Source organism: Homo sapiens, chromosome 1 (assembly GCF_000001405.40).
Source record: "Homo sapiens chromosome 1, GRCh38.p14 Primary Assembly".
NCBI lineage: Eukaryota > Metazoa > Chordata > Mammalia > Primates > Hominidae > Homo > Homo sapiens.
Window position 1 is genome coordinate 2000717 of NC_000001.11, and position 11465 is coordinate 2012181.

Consider the following 11465-nt stretch of genomic DNA (forward strand, 5'->3'; position numbering starts at 1 on the left):
AATTTCTCCTTTTTATAAGGACACCGGTCATACCAGATGAGGCACTCACCCTATTCTAGTATGTCCTCCTCTTAGCTACTTACAGGCATCACTGTAAGTCCAAATAAGGTCATATTCTCAGGTCCTGAGGCTTAGAGACAGCCCCGATGGCCACGGTGCCACTGTGTGGATGAATCTCTCGCACAACCCCGAGGAGAAAAAGACAGAGGCCCGCCTGATGCTCTTCCTCTCCCCCTTCCCTTCACTGTCACAGTAGGTTCCCTGGGTAGGGCAGGTGGAGCAGGATCCACAGTGGCCCAGGCTGGGCTGTCGGAGCCTGGCTGGGTGAGGAGGGTGAGGGTATGTGGCTGAGGCTCAGAGCTGTTTGCAGGTGCCTGGCTGGGTGAGGAGGGTGCCGGTGTGCGTGGCTGAGGCTCAGAGCTGGATGTCAGAGCCTGAGAAGAAAGAGGGCGGCCCCAGGTGTGGTCCAGCAGAGGGTATCAGAGCCCAGGCAGGAGAAGAAGGTGTCCACCATGAGAGCCTCCCAGGCCAAGCCTGGGAGTGATGACATATTTGCATAGCTTCCAAATACCTCCTACAAAATGCTTGTGTTTTTGTTTTGTTTTGTTTTTCATTTTGTTTTTTTTTTTTTGAGACGGAGTCTCGCTCTGTCGCCCAGGCTGGAGTGCAGTGGCGCAGGGTCGGCTCACTGCAAACTCCGCCTCCTGGGTTCACGCCATTCTCCTGCCTCAGCCTCCCGAGTAGCTGGGACTACAGGCAACCGCCACCACACCTGGCTAATTTTTGTATTTTTAGTAGAGACGGTTTCACCGTGTTAGCCAGGATGGTCTCGATCTACTGACCTCGTGATCCGCCCTCCTCAGCCTCCCAAAGTGCTGGGATTACAGGCGTGAGCCACTGCACCCGGCCAAAATGCTTGTTAATTACGAAGGAAAAAAGAACTTCCCAGTGGAGATGTTGGCAGATACCACCTTAATCAAGAGCTCAAAGTGAACATCATCAGTAACGTGACAACGTGACCACTGTGAGCCACTGACTGGATGGAATGAACAGGCCACGGTGTCACCTCTGCGACTTTCCTGTCCGAGACGTGCAGTGGGAATCTAATCACGAGGACACAGCAGACGAAACCAAATGGAGGGACTTTCTCCAAAGTAATTGGCCCATGACCTTCAGAGGTGTCAGGGTCATGACAGCCAAAGCAAGGCCAAGGAATGTTCTGGACTGAAGGGGAATAAAGAGGTATGTGAGAATTCAGTGCAAAGTGACTCTAGGCTGGATCCTTCCACGCTGGGGCCCTGATGCAATCAACTGGCAAAGCGTGTTTGACAGGCTGAGGGGTAAACACGGCAACAGGCCTGTGTCCTCTCCTGACTCGGGCCATGTGTGGCTGTGTTGGAGAATGTCCTCGTTTGTGGAAAATACACTCTACAAGGGTGGGGGGCGACAGAGCATCATGAAGGCAACTTACTCTCAAATCCTTCACGAGAAGTTTTTTTGTGCTGAGCTTGCAACTTTTATACAAGTTTGGGATTGTTTCAAAAAATGTTAAAGAATGTATGTGGTATTACATAAAGTTTATATATATTATTAAACTTATATAAACCTTATATAATACCACACATATTCTTTAAAATTTTATATAAATAAATTTATATAAAATTTAAAATAAATGAAAGTTGGCTGGGTGTGGTGGCTCACCGCCTGTAATTCCAGCACTTTGGGAGGCGGAGGTGGGTGGATCATTTGAGATCAGGAGTTCAAGACCATCCTGGCCAACACGCGGAAACCCCGTCTATACTAAAAATACAAAAATTAGCCAGGCATGCTATAATCCCAGCTACTTGGGAGGCTGAGGCAGGAGAATCGCTTGAACCCAGGAGGTGGAGGTTGCAGTGAGCCGAGATCGCCCTGCTGCATTCCAACCTGGGCAACACAGTGAGACTCTGTCTCAAAAAAACAAAAATTTAAAGAATATATGTAGTATTATATGAAGTTTAATATATATTATTAAACTTACATAAAACTATATGTGGCATTATATATAGTCTATATATTTATATTATATATTGTTTATATAACACCACATATATTCTTTAAAATTTTATATAAAGTTTATATAAAGTTTAAAATAAGTGAAAGTTAACTATATTGTTTAGGGACACATGCATAGGTAGTAAAACTAAAGAAATTTATATATCATCTTTAAAATTTTATATAAATATAAAGTTTATATAAAGTTTAAAATAAGTGAAAGTTAACTATATTGTTTAGGGACGCATGCATAGGTAGTAAAACTAAAGAAAAAGTCAGCCATGGTCAAGAAGAGCGGGTCTGTGAGTGGCATGGGGGAGAGACTTTGGGGTGCTGATGAGGTTCTATTTCTTAACTTGGGTAGTGGCTACTGATGTTCGATTTATAACCAATCTCTAAGTCGCACATGCGCATTTATGCACCATCGTTATGCAGAGAATATCAGTCCATTTCTTTTCAACTGTGGGCCCTACAGCAGGCCTGCTTACTACCTCAGTACCTGGCTTATGCAGATAAAAGGAGTATTCCTTTAAGAAAAACAAAATACTAGAGGCAAATCAGCTTCCAAAACTAGGTTATACATACTAAAACTAAATGACTTTGGGGCTATGGACCATGCTCTCCTTTTTAGCTAGGCAGACACTCACGAGTCTTAACTGTTCACCAGACAGGCTGGCCCTTGATTTTTGTTTAATGTTTTTGTAAATGTGTTATAATAATACTTTATTATAACATCTGCTGCAAAGTCAGGGGCGGGTCCCTCAACAGAGGCTGTGCCAGCGCCGGGGTTCCCTGAAACGAACCAGGGACTAGAACTATTAACAAAGTCATTTTTCTGGCACAGCTTTCCGGGAAAGGCGTTTCATATGGGACGGAGTTCTGCCTGGGGGGCGGGGGTCAAACCCTTCCAGCTCAGCCCCAGGGTCAAACGCATCCGCCCCCACACCCACCTCTGGCTGGCCTGGGTCCCAGGTTCTCGGGCTCCGGAGGCACAGACACCCCGGGCTGCTCAGGCAGGCGGCGGTCCTTGGCGATTGCCCTCCGCGGCGCCGGCGGCGTGGTTTGGGGCGGGCAGCTCCATGGCAACGGAAGACTCCATCGTGGCCGGAGGGGGAGCCTCGCCCGTTCTGCTCCCCGGCTGGAGCGGGTGGTTTGGTCCGACCCACCACCGACCGCGCGGGCCGGGGCCGGGGCAAGGAGGTCGCGGGCCCCGAGGCGCGGCTGAAGGGCCAGGCCACAGGCCGCGGGGCGGGGACGTCTCCGGGGTCCCAGACAGCCAGGCCTGGCCCAGGGCCAAGGCTTGGAGGTGACAGACAGACTTGGGGGGCCTGGAGGAGCTCAGCACCGGCGCGTTGGCCCAGAGGACCGGGGCGGGTGCATGATGGTTTGGAGTCGTTTGTCAACCTAAAAAACTAGGAGGTTTCCCGTGAAAATGGGGATTTTCCTCTTCTCTTGCAAATGGAAGATCGGGCTGGGCGCGGTGGCTCACACCTGTCATCCCAACAATTTAGGAGGCCGAGGTGGACGGATCACTTGAGGTCAGGAGTTCGAGACCAGCTTCGCCAACATGGTGAAACCCCGTCTCTTCTAAATATACAAAAATTAGCAGGGCATGGTGGCAGCTGCCTGTAATCCCAGCTACTCAGGAGGCTGAGGCAGGAGAATCGCTTGAATCCAGGAGGAGGAGGTTGCAGTGAGCCAAGATCGTACCACTGCACTCCAGCCTGGATGACAGAGTGAGACTCCGGCTCAAAAAAAAAAAAAAAAAAAAAAAGACTTCTGAATGTTATGTTCCAGCAAAGGCTCCAACTGAAAAATTGTAAAAGTAAATAGCAAAGTCAGTGAGCTATGATGGTGCCATCACACTCTGGCCTGAGCGAAATCAAGACCCTGTTTCAAAATTAAAAACAGCAAAAACCCGGTTGGGCACAGTGGCTCATGCCTGTAATCCCAGCACTTTGGGAGGCTGAGTTGGGCAGATCACTTGAGGTCAGGAGTTCGAGACTATCCTGGTCAACATGGTGAAACCCTGTCTCTACTAAAAATACAAAAATTAGCCGGGTGTGGTGGCGCACACCTGCAGTCCCAGCTACCCCAGAGGCTGAGGCAGGAGAATCGTTTGAACCCGGGAGGTGGAGGTTGCAGCGAGCCAAGATTGCGCCACTGCACTCCAGCCTGAACGACAGAGCGAGACTCTGTCTCAAGACAAACAAACAAACAAAAAACAAAACGGAAGATGGGCCCAACATGCCAAGCCGGTTCCGACGTTCCCCATTGCCTTTCCCACAGTCCCCATCCCCCGCTGCCCAGCCCATCTCACTGTGCATCCTGTTACACCGGAGCCTCTTCTCGCACCGCTGGTCCGTGGGGGCCGTTTGCAATGGAGACATGGGAGTGTGAGGAAAGGGAGTGGTCTCTCACCGGGCCACTCTATGCCAAGAACTGGGCTCACGAGTGAATTGGACGCGTCCCCTACCCTGGCAGTCTTTCAGCCCGCCATGTGTAGGGCTTGCAGGGTGGCCGGCTCCTGATGCCACAGTGAGGCCTGGGAGGTCCTTTGGTTTTATCCTGGCCCATAACCTGATCCATCAGAGGCAAGACACCTTGCAGAATGCCCAGCACCCGTGAGAATGGCTGTGGAAAGTAGCTGGGTGACACCACAGCACCTCTGCACTCACCCACCTTCCGCAGTGCCAGATCGCTTTCCTCCTCAGAATCTGAGGAATAGAACCAAGCCACCATTACCAGCCCAGGTTCGCTTTTATAAGAGAGATTATACTTCTTCCCGACTCCACGGAAATGATAGGGCTTCTTCCTTATCAACTTTGCCTCCCTGGACCTTTCCCAATGAACTGTTAATATACTTTCTAGGAAAGGGCCGGGCACAGTGGCTCACGCCTATAATCCCAGCACTTTGGGAGGCCAAGGCAGGTGGATCACCTGAGGTCAGGAGTTCGAGACCCGCCTGGCCAACATGGTGAAACCCCTGTCTACTAAAATACAAAAACTAGCTGGGCGTGGTGGCGCATGCCTGTAATCCCAGCTACTCGAGAGGCTGACACAGGAGAATCACTTGAACCTAGGAAGCAGAGTTTGCAGTGAGCCAAGATCACACTACTGCACTCCAGCCTGGGCAACAGAGCGAGACTCCAACTCTCTCTCTCTCTCTCTCTCTCGTTCTCTCTCTCTCTCTCTCTATATATATATATATACTGTCTAGGAAAGAAGGAAAGGACAGTGACAGCCTGAGAACAGCCCCGTGTCCATGGAACTGGTTGGTTAAGGAAGCTGTGGAACAGCTACACGATGGAGGTCAGCTGTAAAGAAGGTATAAGGACCATTTATTTCTATGTTCTGCTGTGGAGTGACTCCAGAACATATTGTTAAGTAAAAAAAATTGAGCCAGGCATGGTGGCTTGAGCCTGTAGTCCCAGCTACTTGGGAAGCTGCAGGATGGATTGCTCAAGCCCAGGAGTTTGAGGCTACAGTGAGCTATGATTGTACCACTGTACTCCAGCCCTGGCAACATAGTGAACCCCATCTCAAAAAAGAAAAAAAAAATCCAGCCAGGTGCAGCGGCTCACGCTTCTAATCCCAGCACTTTGGGGGGCAAGGTGGGAGGATCGCTTGAGTCCAGGAGTTTGAGACCAGCCTGGGCAACATGGTGAAACTCTGACTCTAAAAAAATACAAAAAAAATTAGCCGGCCATGGCGGTGCACACCTGTAGCCCCAGCTACTCGGGAGGCTGAGGTGGGAGGACCTCTTGAGCCTGGGAGATTGATGCTGCCCTGAGCTGTGACTGTGTCACTGCACTCCAGCTTGGGTGACAAGTGAGATCCTGTCTCAAAAAAAAAAAAAAATCAAGATGCAGAAAAGTGTGTATAGTATTTATGTAAGAAGGAGCAGTGGCAATAAGAATATATATATATTTTTACATTAAAAAGGTTACTATCTGGGGCAGAAGGACACAGGAATAGAAAGTAGATCTCTTTAAATGTGCTTACATTCAGTTATAGAACTGTGTAATTAGAAAACCAAAAATAAATCAAAATAGAAAAGCATCTAAAACTTGGAGACAGAATGAAACAAATGAACCTAATTGTATGGCATGTGGGGGGGTTAGCCATACAAAAAAGGATAATTTTGAGTGACTTTTTATTTTTATTTTTAGACAGAGTCTCGCTGTGTCACCCAGGCTGGAGTGCAATGGAGTGATCTTGGCTCACTGCAACTTCCACCTCCTGGATCCAAGCAATTCTCCTGCCTCAGCCTCCCAAGTAGCTGAGATTACAGGCATGAGCCTCAATGCCTGGCTAGTTTTTTGTATTTTTAGTAGAGATGGGGTTTCACCATGTTGGCCAGGCTGGTCTCGAACTCCTGAGCTCAAGTGATCTGCCCGCCTTGGCCTCAGAAAGTAACTTTTTCAAAGAGACAATGTCTGGCTCTGTTCCCCAGACTGGAGTGCGGCGACTCCATCATGGCTCCCCGCAGCCTCCACCTCCTGCGCTCAAGAGAGCCTCCCACCTCAGCCTCCCAAGCAGCGGGGACTACATGTGTATACCACCATGCCCAGCTAATTCATTTCTATTTTATTTTATTATTATTATTTTTTGAGACAGAGTCTCGCTCTGTCGCCCAGGCTGGAGTGCAGTGGCGCAATGTCAGCTTACTGCAAGCTCCACCTCCCAGGTTCATGCCATTCTCCTGCCTCAGCCTCCCGTGTAGCTGGTCATTTTTATTTTTATTTTTGCAGAGATGAGGTCTCACTATCTTTTCCAGGCTGGTGTAGAACTCCTGGCCTCAAGAAATCCTTGAGTTGCAGTGAGCTGAGATGTGCAACTGCACTTCAGCCTGGGCGACAGAACAAGACTCCATCTCAAAAAAAAAAAAAAAAGAAAAAGAAAAAACAAATAAGTAATACAGGGAAGGTGGTTAAGTTTTGTGTATATTTTACCACATTAAAAAGTTTTAATCAGGCCATGCGCAGTGGCTCACACCTGTAATCCCAGCACTTTGCAGGGCCAAGGTGGATGGATCACTTGAGGTCAGGAGATCGAGACCAACCTGACCAACATGGTAAAACCCCGTCTCTACTAAAAATACAAAAATTAGCTGGGCGTGGTGGTGGGCACCTGTAATCCCAGCTACTCGGGAGGCTGAGGCAGGAAAATCACTTGAACCCGGGAGGCGGAGGTTGCAGTGAGCCTAGATTGTACCACTGTACTCTAGCCTGGGCAACAGTGCAAAAACTCTGTCCAAAAAAAAAATTAAATCAAATAAAATGTAAAATTGCATTCCTCAGTGGCAGTAGCCACATTGCAGGTGCTGAGTAGTCCTCTGTGGCCGGTGGCTACCCCAGTGGACAGCACAGACATGAAACAAGGACCCTCATTCCTGGGATTGTGCTGGACTACAAACGGTCACCAGTCCCGGTGCGAGGAGCACACAGACCATTGTTTCTTCCTGCCATTTCCCTTGAAAAGAAACCATGGCTTCTTGGAAAAATGACGGATTTCAGACATGAGGCAGAAAACATACAAGATGACCCCAGAACATCTCATCATAACAGCAAGCAGGAAAATTAACACAGATTCTAGTTTGTCTCGGAGGATCCATTTGCCAGTTTGAAGGGGCTCTCACTGGCGAAAGTAAGCATCAACTGAGTATCAAAAGGAAAAGTAAATTGCAGTGGATTGAAGCACTTCAAATATATTAGTGTCCACGAGTTCATTCAGCCTGGGCGACATAGTGAGACCCCGGCTCTATAAAAAATAATTTAAAAAAATTATCTGGAGCCGGGTGAAGTGGCTCACGCCGGTAATCCCAGCACTTTGGGAGGTTGGGGCGGGCAGATGACAAGGTTGGGAGTTCCAGACCAGCCTGGCTGACATGGTGAAACCCCATCTCTACTAAAAATACAAAAATTAGCCAGGCATGGTGACAGGTGCCTGTAGTCCCAGGGACCCAGGAGGCTGAGGCAGGAGAATCACTTGAACCCGGGAGGTGGAGGTTGCAGTGAGCTGAGATTGTGCCATTACACTCCAGCCTGGGTGACAGAGTGAGACTTTGTCTCAAAGAAAAAAAAAAAATGCTGGGCACGGTGGCTCACGCCTGTAATCCCAGCACTTTGAGAGGCCGAGGCAGGCAGATCATGAGGTCAAGAGATCGAGACCATCCTGGACAACATGGTGAAACCGTCTCTACTAAAAACACGAAAATTAGCTGGGTGTGGTGGTGCGTACCTGTATTCCCAGCTACATAGGAAGCTGAGGCAGGAGAATCGCTTGAACTCGGGAGGAGGAGCTTGCAGTGAGCTGAGATCGCACCGCTGCACTCCAGCCTGGTGACAGAGCGAGACTCCGTCTCAAAAACAAAAAAAAACTGGGTGTGGTGGCATGTGCCTGTAGTCTCAGCTACTCCTGAGGCTGAGGCAGGAGGGTCGCTTGAGCTCCGGAGGTCAAGGCTGCAGTGAGCTGTGATCATGCCACTGCATTGCAGCCGAGCAACAGAGCGAGACCCTGCCTCTAAAAATAAAATAAAACCCTCACCGGCCACCTTTGGAGGGTGCTGGATACTAAGTTACCATTCCGAAATGTTGTGGCAGCCTTAGGGGCGCCACTTCCATCTTCACTGGAGCATGGATTTGCGTTCAGCTGTGAGGCGTGCAGGGAGCCTCCAGCTTTCAGCCGTGCCGCAGGGACCGGCAACAGCGTTTGAGCAGAGCACACTCTCTGGGTGGCCCCTGGCCCATGACTGAGCACGCAGGGGCACTGGGCAGCCCTGGCCCCTGAGACGGGACTCCTGGTGGACACTGGGCATTCTCTGCTGCAGAGCCCTGCCATGCCCCTCCACTGGGTTGGCCAAAATGTTGAGAGATTTGCATTGCGGTCGGGCTCTCCCAGCCCGATTCTGTTTCCTCCCAATTTTCTTTCACAGACGTTGGACGGGTATTGTGGCCTGAAGGCTTTCTCAGCCTGGTTCCCCAACTCTGCCTTGATCTTTCATAGGTGTGAGCTCTCAACAAGTCTTTTGCATTCCTGATTTCATTGCATGGTCTGCTTACTGGAGGGCACAAAGAGGCACAGGTGGTGCCAGGAATGGTCTGAGAAGGCAGATGGCACGATGGGGTTTGGAGCTGGATCACTCACTGCCCAGCTGGCAATGGGATCCCATCCTGGGTGGCACATGGATGCCCTGCACGAGGTAAAGCTCTCCCTGTAGTGCCCTGGGAGGACGGCGGCTGGTGCAGTGGTTCAGGCATTTGAGAAAGATGTGTGCTTGGGAGGGTGCCCAGGGTGCGTACAAGTACGGCGTTCTGGCCAATATTAAGAACAGTACAGGGGTCTGGCTGATATTAAGTTGCATTAACACTCTAGGCCGGGCGCGGTGTCTCACGCCTGTAATCCCAGCACTGTGGGAGGCTGAGGTGGGCGGATCACGAGGTCAGGAGATCGAGACCATTCTGGCCAACACAGTGAAACCCCATCTCTACTAAAAATACAAAAAGAAATTAGCTGGGCGTGGTGGCCGGCGCCTGTAGTCCCAGCTACTCGGGAGGCTGAGGTAGGAGAATAGCGTGAACCCAGGAGGCGGAGCTTGCAGTGAGCCGAGATTGTGCCACTGCACTCCAGCCTGGGTGACAATGCGAGACTCCGTCTCAAAACAACAGCAACAACAACAACAAACAAACAAACAAACAAAAACCCACTCTAGAGAGGCATCATGAAAAGTTTCAGACGGTCAAACAGCCATCGACACTAAGCATGAAAGCCAGAGAGGTCCTTGTCCCCTCCGTGGCAGAAAAGGAAATGCTGGAAACCACGACGAGGCCTGGAGAGTTCCCGTAGTTGAATTTCAAAGACGACCAACTCTCAGTCAAAGCCAGGTTGCTGTGTCAACGCCCAGGTCTGGGTTGAGATGAGCTGGTGCCTTGATACGTGGGGCAGGGATATCTGGGTGGATGCTCCTGAATGCTTTGGCTGCCCAGATTCTTCTGAAACCTCAGAGCCTGCAGAGGAGACTCATGCCTCCCGAGGAAGAGCTGGCACCCTGTGCCCCCCACCCCCTAAGTATAGGAAGACTGCAGAGTCTTCCCAGAAAGACAACAGGGCTCCCTTCAGGGCCTGTCCCCACCCTCCTTGGCTGCCAGACTGGTAACGAGGGGTGAGCTGCAACATAACCTAGGTTGAATACAATTTATTCAAAAAAAGAAAAAGAAAATCATACCAAGATGGCCAGCAGCCAAACTGATGAAAACGAGAAGGAAAAACTCTTTACAACCATGAGTGTAAAGACACACATTTCATAAAGTGCAGCAAAGAAACGGCAGCAAACTTCCTGCGAGAAACCATGAAGCCAGAAGACAAGAAGCGACTTGGAAGTGCTGGGAGAAGAAATGGCCAGACGAGCCCCAGTGCCAGGACCCCAGCGACCGCGCCCAGGGAGAAAATGACTTTCCAAAGCGAAGGCAAGTTGATGCTGTGTGAATCCTATCTCAGTACAGCTGGTTTGTTTTTTGCGTTTTTTTTTTTGAGACCGAGTCTCACTCTTGTCGTCCAGGCTGGAGTGCAGCGACGGGATCTCAGCTCACTGCAACCTCCGCCTCCCAGGTTCAAGCGATTCTCCCGCCTCAGCCTCCTGAGTAGCTGGGATTACAGGCGTGCTCCCACACACCTGGCTAATTTCTTCTTGTATTTTTAGTAGAGACGGGGTTTCACCATGTTGGCCAGGCTGATCTCGAATGCCTGGCCTCAAGTGATCTGCCCGCCTCTGCCTCCCAAAGTGCTGGGATTACAGGTGTGAGCCACTTCGCCTGGCTTAATTTAATTTTGTTCTTTAAATGAAGGTAAGTTTCTACTTCCAGCCAAGATGGAGTAACAGGGACAGGTTTGCCTCACGCCTGAAACAACTGAAAGACTCAGCAAAATATTTGAGACAACAGCCCCCAAGTGATGGGACATGAGGGAGCCAAGGGCAAGATCCTGACAGCGGGGAAATGGGTGAGGTGCGCCCTCCGAGGACACCAGCTACTTGCCTAGGAAGGCGTCCTGGCCACCACACAGGAAAGGGGAGCCAGGGTGGAAGGGGAGCCAGGGTGGGGCGCGGCCCATACAGAAACAGGGCCATATCGCCAGCATTGCAAACTTTGTTTCTTCAAAAGATACTGTTGTGAAAATGCATCAGCAGGCCTTAGACTGGGAGAAGGTGTTTGCGAAACATATATCCAACAACAGACATGCACCTAAAATATAGAAAAAACTCTTAATAATAAGAGAGATTGACAACTTCATTTTTAAAAACATTAGGCTTTTAAAAGATTTGAACAGACACGTACGTCACCAAAAGCTACTCAAATAAATAAGCACATAAAAAGATGCCTATTAGCCATTCAGCAAATGCGTGCTGGCCAGACGAGGTGGCTCACTCCGCT

General features: G+C 49.8%; 1 protein-coding gene across 1 annotated transcript in view, besides 1 other annotated feature; it reads right to left on the minus strand.

The window, feature by feature from the left end:
* Nucleotides 1-3070, minus strand: part of CFAP74 (cilia and flagella associated protein 74) — an 81830-nt gene extending 78760 nt beyond the window's left edge. Inside the window, exon 1 of the mRNA NM_001304360.2 lies at nt 2985-3070. The gene's annotated coding sequence lies outside the window, so the exon portion shown is untranslated. The remainder of the gene's footprint in view (nt 1-2984) is intronic.
* Nucleotides 2934-3228: a silencer, noted in NCBI's record as "tiled region #11961; HepG2 Repressive DNase unmatched - State 4:PromP". NCBI's record gives its function as "represses a minimal TATA promoter and a strong SV40 promoter by Sharpr-MPRA in HepG2 cells {active_cell/tissue: HepG2}" and the evidence as "EXISTENCE:reporter gene assay evidence [ECO:0000049][PMID:27701403]".